This window comes from Homo sapiens, chromosome 1 (genome assembly GCF_000001405.40).
Source record: "Homo sapiens chromosome 1, GRCh38.p14 Primary Assembly".
Lineage (NCBI taxonomy): Eukaryota > Metazoa > Chordata > Mammalia > Primates > Hominidae > Homo > Homo sapiens.
In genome coordinates, this window is record NC_000001.11 from 101,286,715 (window position 1) to 101,309,587 (window position 22,873).

The 22,873-nt window shown below is 43.6% G+C and overlaps 1 long non-coding RNA gene across 5 annotated transcripts, besides 3 other annotated features; it reads right to left on the minus strand.

Moving 5' to 3' along the window:
- Positions 6,971-7,060: an enhancer, noted in NCBI's record as "active region_1398". NCBI's record gives its function as "activates an Ori minimal core promoter by ATAC-STARR-seq in GM12878 lymphoblastoid cells {active_cell/tissue: GM12878}" and the evidence as "EXISTENCE:reporter gene assay evidence [ECO:0000049][PMID:35858748]".
- Positions 7,201-7,270: an enhancer, noted in NCBI's record as "active region_1399". NCBI's record gives its function as "activates an Ori minimal core promoter by ATAC-STARR-seq in GM12878 lymphoblastoid cells {active_cell/tissue: GM12878}" and the evidence as "EXISTENCE:reporter gene assay evidence [ECO:0000049][PMID:35858748]".
- Positions 8,947-22,441, minus strand: LOC102723784 (uncharacterized). Of its 5 annotated transcripts, XR_947643.3 has the most exons (6): positions 22,335-22,441; positions 21,553-21,659; positions 19,976-20,177; positions 18,823-19,007; positions 12,295-12,508; positions 8,947-11,125 (listed from the first exon to the last, which is right to left on the minus strand). It is a non-coding gene; the product is annotated as an uncharacterized LOC102723784 (long non-coding RNA). The 5 variants fall into 5 exon arrangements; XR_947642.3 differs by lacking the exon at positions 18,823-19,007 and having other exon boundaries at positions 21,553-21,653; XR_007066257.1 differs by lacking the exon at positions 18,823-19,007 and having other exon boundaries at positions 11,777-12,508; positions 21,553-21,653.
- Positions 22,579-22,873: a silencer, noted in NCBI's record as "tiled region #6134; K562 Repressive non-DNase unmatched - State 12:CtcfO". NCBI's record gives its function as "represses a minimal TATA promoter and a strong SV40 promoter by Sharpr-MPRA in K562 cells {active_cell/tissue: K562}" and the evidence as "EXISTENCE:reporter gene assay evidence [ECO:0000049][PMID:27701403]".

Consider the following 22,873-nt stretch of genomic DNA (forward strand, 5'->3'; position numbering starts at 1 on the left):
GTCTGTTGCCTTGCCACCTGTTGCCCCTCATGTGCAGCAAGTCAATAGATCGAGACATGGGGTTGCAGCAGAGAATGAGGTTTAATAACAGGACCACCAAATGAGGACATTGGAAGGAACCTCAAATCCACCTCCTAAAGGAATTTGTGGCTAGGGGTTATAGAGGTTTGGGAGTAGGCTGAAATTTGGAGATCATTGATTGATCAAAGAGTGGAGGGTGAAGTCAGGGCAAGGAGATGAAGAAGCTGTATTTTCATGCCAATTCCATTCCTCCTCAGTGGGGGTCTTCAAACTGGTTAGCATCAGCTATTTTGCTGGAATTTGGGATCTGAAAAACATCTTAAACGGTTCCTAAACAAAAGCCTTATGATTCTAATGTCAGAGATCCTGTCTACAGGAGCAGTGGAGATGCAAATCAATTCTTAAAGTCTTATGATCCTAATGCCAGAAATACTATCTAGGCTGGGCTGAGAGACTGAGGCAGGAGGATCGCCGGAACCCAGAAGTTTGAGACCAGCCTGGGCAACGTGGCAAGACCTTAATTCTACAATTAAAAAAAAAAAATTAGATGAGCATGGTGGCATGCACCTGTAGTCCCAGTTACCCTGGAGGCTAAGGTGGGAGGGATCACTTGAGCCCAGGAGGTCAAGGCTGCAGCAAGCTGCGATTGTGTCACTGCATTCCAGCCTGGGTGACAGAGTAAGACCCTGTCTCAAAAAAATAAATTAATAAATTAATAATAATAATAAAAAAAGAAATCCTATCTATAGGAACGATGGGGATGCCAATGATCAATATCTAGTGCTACGTTATTTTCAGCAACAAGAAAGTGGATCAAATTACAGCTTGATTAATATTTCATTACATCTATATTTCTGTTCAGAACCCAGCATGCAATTCTTGTCGACTCTGTGAGGACAGTTCCAAAATGACTTAGGGAAAAATAAATGGAGGGCCGAGCATGGTGGCTCATGCCTGTAATCCCAGCACTTTGGGAGGCCGAGGTAGGTGGATGATCTGAGGTCAGGAGTTTGAGACCAGCCTGGCCAAGATGGCGAAACCCTGTCTCTACTAAAAGTACAAAAATTAGCTGGGGGTGGTGGCGGGCTCCTATAATCCCAGCTACTCAGGAGGCTGAGGCAGGAGAATTGCTTGAACCCAGGAGGCGAAGGTTGCAGTGAGCCGAGGTTGCGCTACTGCTCTCCAGCCTGGGGGACAGGAGATTCCATCTGAAAAAAAAAAAAAAAAGCATGCACATGCACCTGTAGTCGCAGCTACACAGGAGGCTGAGGGAGGAGAATCTCTAGAAACCTGGGGGCAGAGGTTGCAGTGAGCCGAGATCATGCCACTGCACTCCAGCCTGGGTGACAGAGTGAGACTCTGTCTCCAAAATAAATAAATAAATAAATGGAGGTGGAAAAGCCCAAGAGAGTTGACCAGACCAGCTAGACTGCAATGCACAGTCACTGTGTATTTCAGACAAAGATATTCTAGCAGGGATCCCAATCTCAAATGCCTTCCAGGGCCATACACATGTGTGGGGCATGGAATAAGATATTGAAGAATGATGGGAGTTCTGGCAAATTAGAGAGGGCTTGCCAAAAAGCATTACAGATTAAAACAAAACAACAAAACCAAATACTACCCTAGACAAACACATTGCTGACCAGATTCTGCCCAAAGGCTGTTGATTTGAGCCTACTTGTGACATAAACTAAAACATTCTTAGCTGTTACAATGGTAGCACAACTTATCAAACGAATGAATTATTTGGAGCTTTGTACTAAGGCTGTGTATTCAGATGTGTAGTCAGTTGTGTGATATTAATTCATTGTTACACTTTCTAAGGGTTCTAGGTCAGCAGCAGTATTGTTGTTAGGACATTACTGCCACCTAGTGGTCATTAGGGCTGTGCCAGCACCAAAGAAATCTGTGTATGGAGCTTTCATCTTCCAAATGTTTGTCTTGTGACGCATGCCACAAAACACTCAGATAAGCTACATAAACCTTTTTATACTGCAGTGGTAAACAGCTCACAAGTGGTGAGGACTGTTGCTGTTGTATAATTAATGTTGTGACTGGGCGGCTTGTGTTTACTTAGTTGGTGTCTGGTCCGTACATTTTTTTCTGCCGCTGTTGTTGTGTTTGTACTAATGCTATCTCTTTGGCATAGGTATAGAAGTTCATCAAGTATCTGAGAGGCTGTGTTGAAAGGATTAAATGTTTGAGGGGGCAAAGAAAAAAAAACACTGGAGAAATAATCAGATTTTGATGTATATGTTAGCTGTGTGACTTTGAACAAGTCACTGGGTCTCTCTCTCTATCAGTTCTGGCTGCTCAAAAATGTGCGGTTGGACCAGATGTGGTGGCTTACCCCTATAATCCCAGCACTTTGGGAGGCCAAGGAGGGAGGATTGCTTGAGGCCAGGAGTTCGAGACCAGGCTTGGCAACATAGTGAGACCTGTCATTACAAAAAATAAGAAAACAAAAATGTGGGAGTGAAATGGTTTAGCAGTTCTCCACCAAACCCCATGTGGGGGAGGCGTCGTCTGAGGAACATCATGGGTTTAGAAATCTTCATGGATCTTTGTCTGGGTGTGAGGGCTTGGGATGAGGGGAAGAGGTTGAAAAGGAAGGTCCAGACTGTTTTAACCAGAACAGGCCCCACTATAAAAAGTTAATTCAAAAAATTTTATTTTTGAATAGGTAATCCATGTAAGTGATTCAAAATTCAAGAGGTAGAAAAGAGCACATAGCAAAAAGTCTCCTCACTAATCTGCCCCACATTAGAGTAAACCAATGTCACAATCTATTATCTATATTTTTGGAGATATTCCCCCATATTGCCCCACCTCTTTCTTTTATTAACACAAATAATAACATCATACACAGTTCTATAATGCTTCTTTTTATCTATTTATATATTGCAGTTTCATATAACATTTCACTTATTCTTCAGTATGCTCAGACATAGATATATAAAATTTGACTAGATGCTCTAGAAATCTCTTTTGTAAGGGCATTGACCCTTTTTTACTTTTACTCTTTTAAATGTTTTTAGAGACAGGGTCTCACTTTGTCACCCAGGCTGTAGTGCAGTGGTGTGATCATAGCTCACTGCAGCCTTGACCTCCTGGGCTCAAGAGATCCTTCTGCTTCCAGAGTTGCTGGGATTACAGGCATGAGGCACCATGCTTGGCAGCATTGACTCTTAAGCTCACATTTTTAATCTAATATAAAATAAATGATCCATAGATTTGTAGCTATGCAGAGACAAAAACCATTTGTCTTGGTGTCAGACCTCCGAGAGACAGGAAGAGAGTGAGCCCTAGGAGAAGGCCTCTTTCAATATTTTCAGCTACAAGGCTTGTTTGACTGCTGTTAACCATAATCCGTAATCATGATCCACAGTAAGCAAAGCATGGGGGAGCACAACAGCACAGAAGCTGCTCCATAGGCTGAGAACAATGGCTCACACCTGTAATTCCAGTACTTGGAAGACTGAGGCAAGAGGTTCGCTTGGCCTAGGAGTTTGAGGCCAGCCTGGGCAACATAGCAAGACCTCATCTTTATTTTAAAATAAATAAATAAATAAATAAATAAATAAATAAATAAATAAATAAGAAAGAAACTGCTCAGGCACAGTGCTGGATGTATCCACAGCTGTAAACGAATTTGAAGGTTTGGGAAGGATAGAGTAAGAAGGTGAGGAGCAATCACTTTAGAAATCTTGTTACATTTTAAGTTAAGTAGAGATAGACTGCTTCTTCCACAGATTTCTCTATTGGATTTTTTCTTTCTTTCTTTCTTTAAACAGGATCAAATTTCCCTTAGAACAGCGACTCTCAACCCTAATTGCACGTTTGAATCATCTGGGAGCTTTCAGAAACTCCCACAGTCAGAGCCCCATCTGTAGGATTCTGATTTAATTTGTTTGGGGGGGTGAGGCTTAGCACCTGGCATTTTTGGAAAGCTCCGTAGATGATTCTAGATGCAGCCAGGTGACAACAGAGCTGTAGCTTCCGAGTGACTGGCTAGTGATGCAGCTCCTTTCTGCTCTACTGGGTGGTTGTCTCCAGGCAAATGGCCCAGATTCCTTCTCTGCTTCCTTCCTTTAACCTTCCCTTTCTGCCTTCTTTTTATTGCATGATCACTATCTGTCTTGGATTGTTGCTTGTTTTGATGTTTATCAGTCTCTGGAGCATACAGATCCCCCTCAGGTAGTCTGAGCTGGAAACTGTCAACTCCTACCCTTTGCAGTTTCTCTCAGATTCAGCTACTAAACATGTCACCTGAGGGCTGTGGTTCATAAGTTCTAGGTCGGAGGTTCTTAGACTAGCAGCATCAGCACCACCTCAGAAGTTCTTAGAAAATCAAATTCTCAGCCCATCTCAGGTCTAATTTAGCTCACTAAATTAGAAACTTTGTGGGTGGGACTAAGGGTATTTTATTGGTAGCCTTGAACCACAAGCTTGTAGCATTTGGAATTAGTTGTGCTGTCATGGGTGCTCTATCTTGAGGCTTTGGTATGCATGTTGGGCACCCAGAGGCTGAACAAGTTGCAATCTTCCTTCAGTGCCCCCACCATTTCCATCTTACCTTGGTGCTAGAGATAAACTGGGCTTCTTTCCTGATTTCTCTCCTTTGCACCTGAGCACTCCACGATGCTAGGTCCTTCCCAAACTCAGTCCATGCACCCCTACCCCCACCATCCTCATCCCCTGTAACTCCTGATCCTAGGAGAGACCTCTCCAGTTCCCCCAAGCGAGAAACAGATTTTCCCAAGGGGAGTGCCTGGAAGACTTTATGTTTATACTTAGTAACTTCATTTGCCAGACTGCCCAGCAGGACTAAGCCTCTTCCTCCTTTGTGGCTTTGCTGATGACTCTGCTCTGAAGCCTGATGATTTAACTAATTGGTGCTAAATTTTCCTGTACAGAGACATGATTTTATCAGCTGTAATTATCAAGCAATGGGACCTGATTTGGTTTTAAGCAGTCCTAGAACTTAAGCACCTCAGTGAATGTTGTCCTTCAAAGTAGTTATCAGGGGAAGCCACCCACTTATTCTAACAAGGCTGTCATTGTTGAAAATCTGACTGAAAACACTCTCCTGGGTCTGATGCAATCCAGAGTCTGATGTTTGTGCTCCTGCCTGATCGGGTTGCATCTTCCACCACCATCTCCCACGTGCCCATTGCTTTAACCACACAGCAGTTTCCTATTTCCTGAACTTACCCTGCACTTTCACATCTCCATGACTTTGTTATTCTTATTCAGCTTGGATTGCTCTTTTTATGCCTTTCTTTCCTTATTAAAATTCTGTTTTTCCTCCAACGGCCAACTAAGATGCTACTTTTCCTATGATGCTTTTCCTTATTCTTCAAATCAAAAAGATGGCTTGCTTTCTTCTCACATGTCATAGTATTTCACTTTTGCTGGTAATGAAGCATGTTTGCTTGAGTAAGTATTCCCTTCTAATGTACGCTTCTTGACAGCAGGGACCATGGAAACCATCCATTCCTCTTTCAGTGTCCAACACAGTAAGAGGTTGACAGCTGTCTATGAAGAGCCTCCATAAGGAACCAAGTGAGGAAATCAATTTATTTAGTTTATGTGTTTATTGAGTTTACCTATTTAGTTTATTTATCACTCTGTCACCCAGGCTGGATGGCACAATTATAGCTCACTGTAGCCTCAACCTCCTGGGCTCTAGGGATCTGCCTGCCTCAGCCTCCTAAGTAGTTGGGACCACAGGCACATGTCACCATACTGGGCTATGGTTTTTTGTTTGTTTGTTTTTGTTTGTTTTGTTGTTTGTTTTTTGTTTGTTTGTTTGTTTTCAATGGAGTCTTGTTCTGTTGCCTAGGATGGAGTGCAGTGGCACCATCTCTGTTCACCACAACCTCCACCTCCTGGATTCAAGCAATTCTCCTGCCTCAGCAGGACAATTGTAATCCCAAGTAGCTGGGATTACAGCCGCCCATCACCACACTCAGCTAATTTTTGTATTTTTAGTAGAGAGGGGGTTTCACTATGTTGGCCAGGCTGGTCTCGAACTCCTGGCCTCAGGTGATCTGCCCACCTCAGCCTCTCAGAGTGCTGGGATTACAGCAGTGAGCCACCGCACCCGGCCTACTGGGCTAATTTTTAAAGTTTGTTTCTAGATACAAGGTCTTGCTGTGTTGCCCAGGCTGGTCTTGAGCTCCTGGCCTCAAGCGATACTCCCACCTTGACCTCCCAAAGTGTTGGGATTATAGGCATAAGCCACCATGTCCAGTTTATTTAGTTTATTATTTAAAAATGGTATTATACCGTGTCTGATCACTACTTTAATCACTGTAATTAGGAACAAAGGACTTTAAGCTATTTCACACAATCATTCATCTTAAAGGATAAAGATTCAATGAATTTTAGGAATAAAGAAAAAATGTGTCAGGCGTGATGGCTCACACCTGTAATCCCAGCACTTCGGCAAGCTGAGGTGGGAGGTTTGCTTGAGCCATGGGGGGGTGGAGGTTGCAGTGAGCTGAGATCATACCACTTCACTCCAGCCTGGAAGACACTGTCTCAAAAAAAAAAAAAAAAAAAAAAAAAAGTTAAAGAAACGATATATCCCTAAGCACTAGCAGCTGGGACTAAGTATATAACCTCCCAGTAAAATACTTTGAAGGGGGACAGTGTGCCTTTTCTTTGTTAAAGGCCCTTCCTGTTGCTAGAAGCATATCCTCTGTGATATTAATGTATTTTCAAAAGGGCTTTGAGCTCCTGCAGCAGAAAAAAGTGCTACAAAGTCTAGCAGCATCTCAGAAAATTGGGACAGATGGCCTCAGGTTTCTCTACGTCAGTGCATCTCTGTGGTTTCAATTTTTTGACCACCAAAAGGAGGAATTGGATTTGATGAACCCAGTGGTTGCAGTGGCTCTGGGAAAGCAATGTGGTTGAAATTTTATGCTTCAGTTGGAAGGGAGCACCCAATGCCATGCTCAGGACTTTTCATTGTGGTATTTGGTCTTCTTTTCTTTTTTTGCTGTGGGTCTTATTTTACTAATGCTGCATGAGAACATTTCATTGCCCTATTTATCTTCCCAGAATCTAACCTGGTCTTGAGTCATATTTGGTGTGCTCTGATTTCCAGGCGAGTCCACGCACCACAGACTTGCCTTTCTGCGGTGGTGAAGAATCCCCCTGATGACTGTGGTACCCCACATTGTAACCTTCTAACTCCTCCCCCATCTATGACTCACTATTTCCTGCCTTAGTGCCCTCCCCCTATTTTCCCTATAATGTAACAATTTTCCCTAAATTGTCCCCTCTTTATTGGAAAGTTTCTTTCTCTTTCCATTGGTTCCAGGATTGTTTCAAAATCAGCTTCTTCCAGGAATACTTCTCTGATAAATTCTCGCCTATTTTAGCTGGGCATGGTGCATCATTCCTGTAATCCTAGCACTTTGGGAGGCCGAGGCAAGTGGATCCCTGGAGGTCAGGAGTTTGAGACCAGCCTGGCTAACATGGTGAAACCCCGTCTCTACTAAAAATACAAAAAATAGCTGGATGTGGTGGTGGGCACCTGTAATCCCAGCTACTTGGGAGGCTGAGGCAGGAGAATCTCTTGAACCCGGGAGACGAAGGTAGCAGTGAGATGAGATTATGCCACTGCACTGGAGCCCGGGTGACAGAGTGAGACCCCGTCTCAAGAAAAAAAAAATTCTAGCATATTTAATTTTTATTGTCTGAGAATTTATACATTAAGCCTAGAAGTTTCATTATAGAATTTCTTTTGTTGTAACAGTTGTGAAGCTATTTTGTCTTATCAGACATATTATCAGGTAAAGAGATGAATTAAGATCTAATTCCTTGTGTCACATGAGCACCTCCCTTGCCCAACACCTTTTAGGCTGACGTAACAAATCTTTGGGAGTTCAGGATTATTATTTTTTTCTTTTTTTGAGACAGAGTCTCACTCTGTTGCCCAGGCTAGAGTGCAGTGGCGGGATCTCAGCTCACGGCAAGCTCCGCCTCCCGGGTTCAAGTGATTCTCCTGCCTCAGCCTCCCAAGTAGCTGGGATTACAGGCGCGCACTACCATGCCCAGCTAATTTTTGTATTTTTTTAAATAGAGATGGGGTTTCACCACGTTGGTCAGGCTGGTCTCAAACTCCTGACCTCATGATTCGCCTGCCTTGGCCTCCCAAAATGCTGGAATTACAGGCGTGAGTCTCCTCGGCCAGCCTGGAGTTCAGGATTATTGAGAGGGAGGGACGAGAAGTTGCCTTTGTTGAAAAAAAGAGTTTACCTTGTGGAGGATTAGCTTCCCTGATGTAGGAAGGGTGTCTGGTAATAGAACATTCTGAGGGTGTCATGGACCTGTGTCACATCCCTCACAGCACCTCAGGAGTTAAGAGGACCACTAAGGAGGACATATAGAAGCTAGAGTGGTACACGCTAAGAGTAGTGGCCTTGGGACCCACAGCAGAGAATCTCAGCCTAAGCTTGGTTCAGAGGGAATGGAGCAGATTTAATTTTATTTAGAGACAGAAAAAATCACAAGAAACCACCACAACAAACCAGTAAGATATTTCTTATACCTTATATTTATACCTTAGTGCAATAAATCACGCATGCTACACGTAAATTCCTCGAGGATGGCAACCATGCCTTTTCATCTCACCTGGCCGACAGCCATCTGTTTATTACCTGAAGGACTGACTCACTGGCTTGTGAATTTATGGGAAACAACACATCAGTATCTGTGTGTCAATCAGCATCAGAGCAGACTGGTGATTAGAAGATAAATAGAAAAAAAGGAGAGTGCACTTTGCTAATTGTGGTTTTTTTCAACCCATCACATCAAACTTCAAACTGCAGTGGAAGTTTTACAATAGTTGATAACTTCTAAATTAATAAGCTCTTCTAAATTAATAAACTGCTTCAGCTGTCCTGTAAATCAGGCATTCACCAACAAACATTTATTGAGCATTAAGTTTCAGAGATTCGTCTAGGTTTTCTCACGGAGCTTTCATTCTACCAGGGGAAGAGATACCAAAAGCAAAAAGAAAACAAAACATGCAAACAAAAAATTTAAAAAAAAACCCTTTTCCTAAAGATAGCAAATAAGTTAATTACATGGTATGTGATAAAATACCACACAGGGCAGGTGTGGCGATTGGGAATACTGCAGAGGCGAAGTGGGGTGGTTTGTTAAACATCATTGATAGATGTGCAGGAACTGTGGGGGTTAGCCCTGTGGAGTTCCAAGGGAAGAACATCCCAGAATGAAGAAAAATCCAGTGCAAAGACTGGTGATTAGAGCATGTTTGGTATGTTCCAGAAACATCCAGGAGGCCAGTGTGGTTGGTACAGAGTGAGTGAGAGTGCAAAGATGAGACAGGTGGTAGGAAGGACCAGGTCATGGCAGGTCTTGTAGGCTGTGGTAAGAACTTTGAATTTTTTTTTTTGGCAGAGTCTCATTCTGTCACCCAGGCTGGAGTGCAGTGACGTGATCACAGCTCATTGCAGCCTCAACCTCCTGGGTTCAAGTGATCCTTCCACCTCAGCCTCCTGAGTAGGTGGGACTACAAACACACATCACCTCGCCTAGCAAATTTCTGTATTTTTTGGAGAGATGGGGTTTTGCCATGTTGCCCAGGCTGGTCTTGAATTCCTGGGCTCCAGCCACCCTCCCTTCTCAGCCTCCCAAAGTGCTGGGATTACAGACACGAACCACTGTGCCTGGCCAGAACTTTGGTTTTATTTTGAGATCCATGTGGACATACTGGAGAGTTTTGAACAGACAGAAGACACAATCCAACCAATGTTTAAAAGGACAATTTTGGCTGCTCTGTTGAGAATAGACACTGGTGGTGGGGTGCGTGGGGGAAGCAAGAGTGGATGCCTGGAGACCAGTGAGTGGCCTCTTGCAGTAAGTTCAGGCTGGAGGAAGCAGTGGTTAGACTGTGATGATCCTGGTGGAGACTGTGAAAGTTGCACATTACTGGACATATATATATATATATATATATTTTTTTTTTTTGAGACAGAGTCTTACTCTGTCGCCCAGGCTGGAGTGCAGTGGCACGATCTTGGCTTACTGCAGCCTGTGCCTCCCGGGTTCAAGTGATTCTCCTAGCTCAGCCTCCCAAGTAGCTGGGATTACAGGTGTGCATCACCACACCTAGCTAATTTTTGTATTTTTAGTAGAGACAGGGTTTTGCCATGTAGGCCAAGCTGGTCTCGAACTCCTGACCTCATGATCCGCCCGCCTCGACCTCCCAAAGTGCTGGGATTAGAGGCATGAGCCATTGTGCCTGGCCTGTTTCTGGATATATTTTAATGGCAGAGTTTATAGGATTTCCTGTCAGATCAGGTGTGGGATGTGTGAGAGAGGAATCAGAATGAATCCAGTTTTACAGTCTGAGTACTGGAAGGATGGAATTGTTTCTCCCTGATCTGGGGAAGACTGTGGAGAGAGCCGGTTTGCTGCAAGTTGGTAGGCGGGTGGTGGTTGTTGGAATTTCAGGGGTTCAGACATGGACATACAATGTTATTAATGTTTTGTTCACAGATCTAGCTAATAGTTCTGTGAATACTTGTCCTATATTCATGTAAACAGTGAAAATCCATGCAGTCTTAAGTACTCACCACATTCTGAGCCCTTTAGGCAGCCCCTGAGACTCCCCTTCACCTATGTTGCTATAGACAGACTAGACTGGGGTTGGTCGCTGGGTACCCAGGCATCAGGGGCCTGTGATGACCATCTGTGAGGTCCCAGTTTCAAAGATGCTGTCCAGTTGGAGCAGCCCTCATTGGGTACTTCTTAACCCATTCATGTTGTCTCCTGGGAGGAAATTTGATGCTAGGAAGAAGGTAGAGGCAGATGGATCAGGAGCCGCAGAGGAAATGCAGCAGAGGGGGAGAGAAAAACCTTGTTCCTGAAAATGGTGGAGTAACCAGAGCTGCCTGCTTCTGAGGTAAAGATGCTATGAGGTTGCCAGGACTGCTTTTGAATTCCTAACCAGTGAGGAACCTTCTTTATTTTTTTTCTGGGCTCCTCATGGGGTCTTGTTCTGCTGTGTTGAGATACCTTCTTGCCTTCCATTGTATGTCTACCACGTTCACATCCATCACTGCAAGTAACATAAGACATAGGTTATTTACAACAGGAAACTACCTAAATGATACATCATGATACATTAACCTAGTATATGTTAAGATGACATGGGAAATTAAACAGAGATGACAGAGTTCAAGCTTTGCTTTCCAAAGAGAACAAGTATGAATCATAAATATAAGGATTATAAAAAGATACATTTAATTGTTTGTTAGGACATTCAGTCCCAAATATTTATCCAATACCATATGTGAGGCCCCAACTCATGCATCTTGATGTGTCTTGGTATTTCCATGACTCTAAATTAGATTCTTTTTTCTGTTTCCTAGATTTCACATTTCTATATCTTTCCACATCTCTTCCCTGACCCCTATTTCCCCTGTTTCTTCCTGGCTTCCTCACCTGGTTAACTTTTTTTTTTTTTCCTGGCCTTGACTACTTTTCTCACCATCAGCTCTAGCTCTGCCATGGTGTTAGTTCTCATTAGGATTTAACTAGAAGTCGGTGCCTACATAACTCCTCAAAATGGATTGAACAATAGATATCTGTGAAATGAACAAAATAACTTATCTTTTCCCATGTACTTTCTTGGTAGGGATGAATTTAGTCATGACAGAGATAAAGCAAAACACATCTACAAAGGCTAAGCCTGAATGATCATACTTACTGTTCAGAAACCTCTAGTGACTCTATGTCAGAACTTGGATGGTCTGTGATAGAAAAGTCAGTTGTGTGTCTTTCTACACACAGAAATTATAGTTTTCTTCAGGGCAGAGACAATCTTATTTATCTTTGTATCTGTATTCCCACTGTGCCTTGCATGCAGTAGGCACATAATAAATGATCCTAGGGAATAATCTGAAAGGAGTGGGATGAGTTGCTCATATCAAGTATTACATAGTTTAAAGTTGTAGGTTTGAAAGTCAGTTTCAGCCCATGAGTAGTAGCTTCCAAAAAAGAAAACATCCTCTTATGAAGTTTAGGCAGCGGATGATACTCACTGAGGAAACCATGATTAAGTCTCAGGAAACAGAAATGCAAGATAAGACACAATCTGCTTAATGAATCCGGATGGGTGGGCCTGATATTAAAGGCTTCTGATGTCACGACCAACCTTAATCATAAACTACACTTTTGAATAACATCCTTCTACTTCTCCATCTTTATCCACTTAAAAAATTTTACCTTGATGTCCTCTTTCTCACACAAACTCTTGGACCTTGTGATATTTTATCAGTCTGTAGAAGAATCCATTCCTCAGATTTCCCAAAACTGGGTGAAAGATGTCCTCGTGGAGTCAAAAGAGACTTACATGATTCCGAATGGGATTCTAGTCTCAAATGGCAAATTTCTACCAACCATATTTTAAAAGGGCATGGATGAAAATAATTCAGTAAGCCTATAAATAGAAAATAAAATTAAGAAAATAAGTCAAATTGTTGCATACTTCCAAAACCAGCCTCCCTTCCCAGCGAGAAACCAGATTTGCTTGGTGTCATAAACTGCTTCCTGCTCTTCAGGGAGCTGCCATTTCCTTGGCTGTATCTACCCGCAAGTGTCAATTCCTGATAACTTTGCTAGAGTGTGATAATACAAAGCAGGGCTCTTTGAGAATTATTTTTAGGGTTTTTTTTTTTTTTTTTTGAGACAAGGTCTTGCTCAGGCTGGAATGCAGTGGCTCAATCATGGCTCAATGCAGCCTCGACTTCTTGGACTCAAGCAGTCTTCCCACCTCAGCCTCCCAAGTAGCTGGAACCACAGGTGTGTACCACCATGCCCAGCTAATTAAAAAGAATTGTTTTTGGTAGAGATGGGGTCTCCCTATGTTGCCTAGTCTTGTCTTGAACTCCTGGCCTCATGCCATCTTCCCACCTTGGCCCCCAAAGTGCTGGGATAACAGGCACGAGCCACCGTGTCCAGCCTCTAGGTATTTTTTGAACAAGGATGAAAAAGAATTAACAGGGTAGATGATTGGGGTGGGAGGGGAATCTTGAGTTAGCTGTGAGTGACCACTCTTCCTTATTTCTTCATATGCCTAGAGAAGGAGATCATTCATTCATTCAACAAACATTTACTGAGCTCTCCCTATTGCCAGAGACTGTCCAAGGTACTGAGGTTACATCAGTGAACAAAAGAGAAAGAAAATATAAATCCTTGCTTTTATGGAACTTATATTGTAGTGGGGGAAACTCCTCTTGTCATCTATTTCTTTCTCCCTCGTGATCAAAAGATAAGCTTGTCAGACAAACTGAAGAAAAGAAGAGAAGATTTATTTCTGTCTTTGCCTCTGCTTTTGCCGTCTTTCCTCTTGCCTCAGAAGTCCCAAGACTCCATGATTTTCATAGGGACTCCTGTAAATAAAGAAAGCTGAGAAAATAAATTCCCACTATTTGCAGTTTCATAGAAGGATGCCTAGAAGAGGCAGTACTAGCTCTTTCAGAGGGATAAACCTAAGTCATTATTTCTTGCCAGAACCAGACTCCTGTTTCCCACTTCTGCAGAAGACATTGTTTCATTGTTCCATCAGGCAGCTAGGTGTAAAATCCGGGGCTCATTGTTGATTTCTTTCTCTTTTCAACTTCAAATTAAATCACTGGTCAAGATCTGTGGATACTGTATCCAATGTCATTCTCTTCTCCCATTCCTTCCACCAAACAGTCTAATTTCTCACTTACACTATTGTGATAGTCACCTAACTCCTTTCTCTCTTTTCTCAAATTCAGCCTCCATAACATTGGATTTACCATCAAGGACCAGCTTTGATCATGTCACCTCCTTGCCTTTCAATAAGCTTCATTGGCTCCCCACTTTAAATATATTCTGATGTTCTTTCAGCTCTGCCCTAAAACATCCTTAACATTTTATCTACAACGTTTAGGTTTTTAAATTTATTATTTATTTACTTTTGAGATGGAGTCTCACTCTGTTGCCTAGGCTGGAGCGCAGTGGCACAATCTCGGCTCACTGTAACTTCCGCCCCCTGGTTTTGAGGGATTCTCCTGTCTCAGCCTCCTGAGTAGCTGGGACTACAGGTGTGCGCCAGCATGCCCAGCTAAATTTTGTATTTTTAGTAGAGACAGAGTTTCACCATGTTGGGTACGCTGGTCTCGAACTCCTGGCCTCAGGTGATCCGCCTGCTTCAGCCTCTCAAAATGCTGGGATTACAGGTGTGAGCCAACACGCCCGGGGCCAACTTTTTATTTATCCCAAGTTCCTGCCTGATATGACATATAGTGAGACGACATACTTTTCCTGGTATTTTCCCCAAGCTTTCCAACAGCTAAACCTTTACTCCCACTTTCCTTCCTTTTGGAATTCCCCATTCACATCACTCCCATTTGAAATTCCACACATGAGCTAAGATGAAGTCCAAACTTCACTTCCTTCCTGAAGTCTTTTCTGACCCCTTACTGAACTGCGTTTCTCCTTTAGCACTCAGTTTATCTTGCAAGGTGGTTAATGCTTGCAGTCTTTTGTTTCTCCTCTCCCCTACTAACAATCAGGTCATTGAGGCAGGTCGCTGACTTCTTCTTTGTGTTCCTCTTATGGCTTTACATATGGCAGGTGCTTTGCAAGTATTTGTTGAATTATGGAATCATGGGGATTGGAAGCACATGTGTGGGTCAGTGAGTGGGGGATGTGTGTTTTTTGTTTGGAGCCAGGTGGGCTATAGGGATGTGTATTTTTTGTCAGGAGTGCTTTAGAGGTCATTTTTTTTGGGCTTGGGGTCAGCCACATTTGATATGTTTCCATTGTAAAATGAGACAGAGAAGCCTAGGCCCATGAAGATGAGAGTGCTGTCTTTGGCTGTAACCCTGATTTATGAGAGGAGCTGACAAATAACTAGTGCTGAATAACGTTGCTTAACATTTCCCCCTGGAGTTGGCCAAAAGAGTAGTGGAGAGAGAGACAATTCCTGTTTATTGAGTGTCTAGAATGTGCAGTGCAGGCGTTGATTTTGCTTGGTTCTTTTGTTTTGCTTTTGTGTGTGTGTTGGGGGAGGACAGGGTCTCGCTCTGTCAACCAGGCTGGAGTGCAGTGGTGTGTTCATGGCTCATTGCAGCCTTGACCTCCCAAACTCAAGTCCTCTTCCCGCCTCAGACCCGCTGAGTAGCTGGGACTACAGGCATGCACCATCATACCCAGCTAATTTTTGTGTTTTTTTGTAGAGACAGGATTTCACCATATTACCCAGGCTGGTCTTTAACTCTTGGGCTCCAGTGACCCGCCTACCTCAGCCTTCCAGAGTGCTGGGATTACAGGTGTGAGCCACCGCACCCAGCCTTGTTTTTTTTTTGAGATGAAGTCTTGCTCTGTCACCCAGGCTGGAGTGCAGTAGCACAATCATAGCTCACTACAGCCTCAAACTCCTAGGCTCAAGTGATCCTCCCTTCTCAGCCTCCCAAGTAGCTGGGACTACAGGTGATGTCACCATGCCCAGCTAATTGACAAAAAATTTTTGTAGAGAAGTTATGTTCCTTAGGCTGGTCTCCAACTCCTGGCCTCAAGCAATCCTCCCACCTCAGCCTCCCAAAGCCCTGGGATTATAGGCATGAACCACTGCACCCAGCCCTGCTTGGTTCTTAATGTACAGTAAAAATGATAGCGAACACTTTGGGAGTGCTTAATATGTGTCAGGCACTGCTCTCAGCACTTTCCCTTTGTTAACTCATGTCATTCTTATAACAGCACCATAAGCAGATGTTATTATTATGAGGAATTGAGATGAAGAGAGGGCAAGTAACTTGACCAAACTGACAGAGCTGGTAAGAAGACATTCTGAACACAGGGAATCTGGTGCCAAAGAGCAGCTCTTAAACCTACTGCTATGCTAAATGTCATTCAATCTTTGCAGCCCCCCATAAGGTACAGGATATAACCTTTACTACAAAGATTAAAAAAACTGAGTCTCCCAAAGGTTAAACAGCTTCCCCATAGATATACATGCAATAAATGAGCCACCTGGAATGTCAGCTGAGTTTCTATCCAGTGCTACAGGAGCACACATGAGATTCTATTTTTTTCCCCAGTGCAGTCTGTAACAAATCATTATCTTCTTTTAAGAAGAGTCATGAAGACTGGAAGAATTATCCCAGGCTGAGGCCTTGCAAACAACTCTCTAGTGCTAGGTCAAAAGCTTCATCCAAGTGAAACCTTTGTGCCCTCTTCTTTTATGCTGATTATAGTGATGATGATTCAGGCTCAAAAGATTTCCTGGAAATGAGTGTCCAGTTTTGAGTTAATGGCATGACATGCCCAATTGGGTCAGTGAGTGGACTTGCCGGCTGTGAATTCCCGGGAAATACACTGAGAGTTGATCACAGTTGGTGAGATAAGGATGTTCCTTTTCTCAGGTTTTTATGCACATTCTCAGAGGACTTTAGAAAGTCAATTCAATTCATTTATGAAACTGGGAAATGCTCTATAACTTCTGCCCCATTATGTGGTTATCTTTTGATAATGCATCCCAGATGAGATTACATGCCTAAGTGTAGTACTTCTGTGCAGTCTGAATCTCTACAGGCAGTACAGCCAATGGCTGTATCATCTATGTGCACAACTGTCCATTACTCACCATATAATTCATGAAATGACCTCTTTCATTCATTTAGTATCTTGAGAATTATTTTAAAACATAGATTCTCCTCTGTCTGTAAGGTTTAAGCGTGGCCCTGCTTAAACATGGTAGACGAACCAGGTGCCCTGTTAGCCACCTTCTGATTCCCAGAGTTCTATAAAAGCCTGGAGGCAAAGAAAATGAACCTAATTCTAAACTGTCTTTGACAGTAAGAGCTAAAATAGAATAACTATCCAGTTCAGTATCTGTTCCTAGGTCTACTTTGACCAAGAAATGTGTTTTATTTTTTTGCTTTTAATATTGTTTTTAATTGACACATAATAATTGTACATATGTATGGAGTATAGTGTTATTTTAATACATGTATATAATGTATAATGATAAAATTAGGGTATTTGGCATATCCATCACCTCATCTATCAAGCAATGTGTCTTTGAGAGCCAGATGGGACAACAAATAATGATTGCGGTGGAACACAGCATTTTAAAGGTATACTTATGTTGCTGTTTTGGAGATGCTATTGAGGGAGGAGGTGAGACTGAACTCCAGAGGTGGGAACTCAGACTCTGGACCAGATTGAAGACTAGCTAAAATAAGGCCAGGGCAGAAGCAGCTTTCCATAAGATATGCCCACCAGCCTGTCATGTCAGCTTACTATTGCCATGGCAACACCCGAAAGTTATGACCCCTTTCCATGGCAATGACCCAATGACCTGGAAGTTACCCTTTTTCTAGAAATTTCTGCATAATCCACCCCTTCATTTGCATGTAATTAAAAGTGGGTATAAATGTGACTGCAGAACTGCCCTGAGTTGCTGCTCTGGGCACATTGCCTTTGGGGTAGCCCTGCTCCACAAGGAGCAGTGCCTCGGCTGCTGCTGTGTACACTGCTGCTTCAATAAAAGTTGCTAACACCTCTGTCTTGCCCTTGAATTCTTTCCTGGGCAAAGCCAAGAATCCGCCTGGGCTGAGCCCTAGTTTTTGGAGCTCGCCTATCCTGCATCACTATGAATGGAGCAAGTGCCAGTAGGGACACATTTAAAGATAGGCACACATCTGAAATTTCAGCTGGCTAAAGATTAAAAATCTGGATTAAAAATTAATTTATGATAAAATGGAGGGCTAAGAAAAATCTATCAAGTATGAAGTATGTGGCTGGTTTCTGTGGTTGATTTTTTAGTTAACTCCCAAAGGGCAATCCTCTCCCTGAAATGAACTACTCTAGCCCACCCTTACTCCCAACTGGAGGCGAATTGCTCTTCTCTCTTTGGAACCTTGAAAGGATTTAGCCCTATAAGGCTGGAGTTGCTGGGAAGATACTCATAGATATATTTGAAATCTCTCGTGTCACAGGCTTTGAAGATGGCTTGCTGGTGGACAAAGGTAAACAGATATTTGAGTGAGTTTTCCCAAGGTAAGCCTGCTCACTGTATTGCCTTTTTACCCATCTCAGCTCCAGCTTTTTAACCAATATGTTCTAGGATGTCAGAAAATTTGAAAATTTGCCAGTAGATTTGAGAACATTTGAAGTTATAAGAGAAGATAATTCTTTAATTCTTTTAGTTTTCTTTTTTTTTTCTTTTTCTGAGATGGGGTCTTGCTCTGTTGCCCAGGCTAGAGTGAAGTGGTGCGATCATAGTTCACGGCAGTCTCAAATTCCTGGGATCAAGCAATCCCCCTGCCTCAACCTACTGAGTAGCTGGGATTATAGATGTGCATCACCACACCTGGCCTCTTAGCACTTTTTGAGAACATGTCACCTAAATGGAAAGAACTCTGAAACTGGCAATAGGTTAAAAAAGGGTACATGGGTGAAAGGCTATGCTGTGAGATGGAGCGCCTGGTGTTTTTTACTTTATGCACTGGTAATGTTCACTGGGATTAAGGAGATGATTTTGTGTGCCTGGTTGTGGTATGACGTTTGGAGAGAATCCCTTAGCTCCATTGTTAAATGTGAGCTTGCCTTTAAAAATGAAATTTTGGGGATCTTTCTTTTGGAACCCCTGATTTCTCTTTCTTTATCCAAATTCCGCTCACACAAAAAGAAAGAGTCATGGAAATTCTTCCATGGTAGGAAAGCAAGGTCACATGATATATAGTTCTGGAGATTTAGGTTAAAAAAATGAGAACTGACCCTTAATGGCATGGAAGATGCCCTTAACAGGTTGTGCTGTCTCCAGGGAAATCGGCTGTGTGGTCTTGTGAGAGATCACCACTGGGAGCTTGGGCTTGGGTGCTCGCCGTCAGCAGCAAAGACCCCCTTTCTCCTGTGGTTCTCACCGTTTCCTCTGGAGGCCCCTGTAGCTTTGGTCACTGTGTCTGTTAGGTCCTCCATAAAACAGATGGTAAGATGGAGTTAGGAGTACAAAAGGTTTAATGAGAGGAAAGGCCTGTGAAAGATAGGGAGAAGCAACAGGATAGTGCAGGGAAAGCCTCAGACTGCTATACAGATCTGACTGTCTTGGCCAACCCAATTGGGAGTTCTCAAAGGTTGCCCATTAGCATGGTCCCATAGTCCACCTGCTGTGCTGAGACTGGGAGCCTCTGAGGATGAGCATAGCCAAGACTTAAAAGCCTAGGTGAAGCCTGAAGTTTCTAACAGCTGTAAGCTGTCAGTTAGCTACACTCCTGGCAGCTGCCAGCAAGTGATTTGTTGGAGGGAGGTATGGACAGCACACCCCATGGCTGCCACAACTGGCACTGTTATTGGGAGCCTCCTGCTATTCTCAGTCTCACTTTTTCATCCTTGGGCTTATCCAATATCTTTTTTTTTTTTTTTTTCTGGAGATAGGGTCTTGCTCTGTCTCCCAAGCTGGAGTGTAGTGGCACAATCTCAGCTCACAGCAGCCTCTACCTCCCAGAATCAAGCAGTTCTCCTGCCTCAGCTTCCTGAGTAGCTGGGATTATAGGCATGCACCACCATGCCTGGCTAATTTTTGTATTTTTTAGTAGAGATGGTGTTTCGCCATGTTGGGCAGGTTGGTCTTGAACTTCTGACCTCAAGTGATCCATCTGCCTTGGCCTCTTAAAGTGCTGGGATTACAGGCATGAGCCACCATGCCCTGCCTATATCCAGTATCTTTATCGTAAGGTGTGGTGAAAATATAATGGATTACGAATCTGACGACCTGAGTACCATTTCCTATTGCTTTGCTAAAAATTTTGGACCTTGTGGACAATTCATGCCACCTTTCTGTGTCTCTGTGAAATCTCCAAGGTCCTTCCCAACCACGACATTTCAAAGTTTATGATTTGTTCCAGGATTTCCAGGATTCGGCATAACGTACCTGTCGTCATCCCTTCCAGGAACCGTGGCTTTTCTTGCCTGGCCCAGGGGTTGAGAATGGTGGTGGTTCATGGCCTTCAGTGCTCTTTGGTCTCACCGACTCTTGTTCCTTTTCAGTTTATGTGGATCCGTGAAATGGAAATTCTCCATTCCATGTCCCTGCCTTCATTCCTTCTAGCCTTTGCATTGTTGTAGGCGCTGTACTAAATTTGAAGGAAACAAAGATGAAAATGATATGGTCTCTGCCCTCAGGGAAGTCTAGTGGAGGGACCACCATGAACATGCAATTGCTATAGAGTGCTGAGGTTCATGGTCTGCTTGGGTGCTGTGGGAGCTTATGAGGTTCAGGCCATCCTACCCCAAAATATGGCACCTTGGCACTTGAGGAAACAGAATCAGGCCATAGACTCTAGAAAGAATTCTCCTCATCCCTTATCCTCTGAAAAGGGCCATAAAACCTAGCTGAATTTCCCTTAAAATAGGTCATAAGACCCTCGTTCCATAGAAGTCCTCCCTCTACCCAGAGAAAAGGGATATCCTCATGTCTGATGACATAGAGGTGCCAGGAAGAATCTGGACAAACAAGCCTTGCCAATTTCCCCCAGTTTATCACCATTAGATCACACCCTTTTTTTGTCCTCCACTCACACTTCTGCACGACTGTCCATAAAAACATGCAGGTCTCCATGTTTCTTTGGGTTTCTATTTCTGAAGACTCCTGTGTCACATAAAACTTAAATAAATGTGTATGGTTTTCTCTCGTTAATCTGTCTTTGGCTGTGGGGTCTCAGTCATGAAACTTGCCATGCCTGAAGGAATCAATCTTTTCTTCCTTGCAGAGCACTTTAGTATGGGAGTCGGGGGCAGGGGTGAAGGGAGGCTGTCCAAAGATAAAGTTGAAGCTGTGATGGATGACTAGGAGTTCCTCAGACAAGTGTGGTGATAGGAAGGGGTGTCACTGAGCAGGTGCAGAGAGGGCATTCCAAGTGGAAAACACACAAGTGCAAAGCTTCAATAGGGAGAGAGAAGAAACTAGAAATTACTTAGAGTGGTAAGGCACAAAGTGGGACAAAAAGGGAAATCAGAGGGTGTTACTTTAGGGCCCCCAAGAAAGCCTGTCCTCAGGGCAATGGGAAGCCAGCAGTGGCTGGAACAGCAGCCAAAGATTGGCTTTCTCACACCTGCTCCTGACGACCTGACTATGTCCCTATGGCTGTGACTCTTGTGAGCTGTGCTCTCAGGCTGTAGATTTTCAGGAGAGAGGTGGATGCTGCTAGGGGAATGTGATTAGCAAGCAGTGGAGATGGTAAGTTTGACTGTCTCAGCAACATTCTGAGGCCTGTTTTTCCTCCTAGGTGGCAGTCACAGGAATTATTTAAATCAATGTCATTTCAGGGTTGAGGCCCCCAGCACATCGTAATGGAAAGTGCACTGGCTGGGGTTAAGAGGCCTGATTGCTCATTGAGGTGGCACCATTTACGACCTTGAATGACACTGCTGGGGGTTCAGAACACAATACCCCAAAATATGACACTGTGGCATTTGAGGAAACAGCAGAAGCAGGAAGGTCTCTCTCACCTTCCCTTGTCCTTCTCCCCTGAAGCAGGTCATAAAATCCAAGAAGTTGTTGGCCTTCCCCTGAAGCAGGTCGTAGACTCCTCATTTGAGAGATACCCTCCCTATACCTCGAGGAAAGGAGCAGAAGACACAGAAATGCCGTGAAGAATCTGAACAAACAAGCCTTGCTAAGTTCCCTCCGGCTTATTGCCATTAGATCACAGCCCCTTGTCCAATCATACTTTCACAGCACTGTACTCTCTTCATCAAACCTAAGAATGAAAACACACAGGTTTCCCTGTTCCTCTGGGACATTGCCAAAGGCTCCTATGTCAGGTAAAACTTTTTTAAAAAATTTGTTTGGAGACAGGTCTTGCTCTGCCACCCAGGCTTGGAGTGCAGTGGCACAAACACAGTTCACTGCAGCCTTGACCTCCCGACTCCTGGGCTCAAACCATCCTCCTGCCTCAGCCTCGCATATAGCTTGGACCACAGGCACGCACCACCAGGGCTGGCTATATTTTATTTTTTGTAGAGGTGGAGTCTCCCTGTGATGCCCAAGTTGGTCTTGAACTCCTGGGCTCAAGCGACCCTCCCACCTTGGCCTCTCAAAGTGCTGGGATTATAGGTGTCAGCTACTGCGCCTGGCCTAAATTTTAACTTAAATGAATTCATATGCTTTTCTCTTTTTAGTCTGTCTTTTGTTTTTGGGGCCTCAGCCACAAACCCCTGAGCAGCGACTGAGAAAACATATTTCATCCCTTACGACTCTGGCAAGTAGCAACCTTTTTCAGTTTACTTACTCTCAGTGCCCTTCCCGCTTTAGAATAAGGTCCATTGATTGAGTAAGATGCCTTCCCACCTTGTCCAGTGACTTGTGTACCTGGCGGTGGTTCTGGGCGTGTGCTCTACCAGCATCACCTGGGAACTTGCTAGAAATGCAAATGTATTGTGCTCCACTCCAGACCTAGTGAATCAGAAATCCGGGGGGGGGGGGGAGGTGGGGGTGGGGACTTAGACATCTTGTTTTAAGGAGGCCTGCAGGCGATTCTGGCGAACACTAAAGTTTAATAATCATAAATATAGGGTACACTTTAATAAAAATTTGCCGCAGCAAACGGGAAAATACCAATTTAGCTCTGTTTGCTGCAGCTTCGCAGCTTTACCAGGAGAGGGCGCCGACGGACCTGACTTTTGCCTTGCCTCGCAGTAGAGCCCAACTAGAGGGTAAACAGCAGCCACAGTAAGTTCTAGCTGTTGCAGAAATAAATTACAAATACATGTAGGAAAAAGGACTTCAAAAGGCTGCGGTATCAAAGTGGCAGTTAAAGAGAAGGCAACG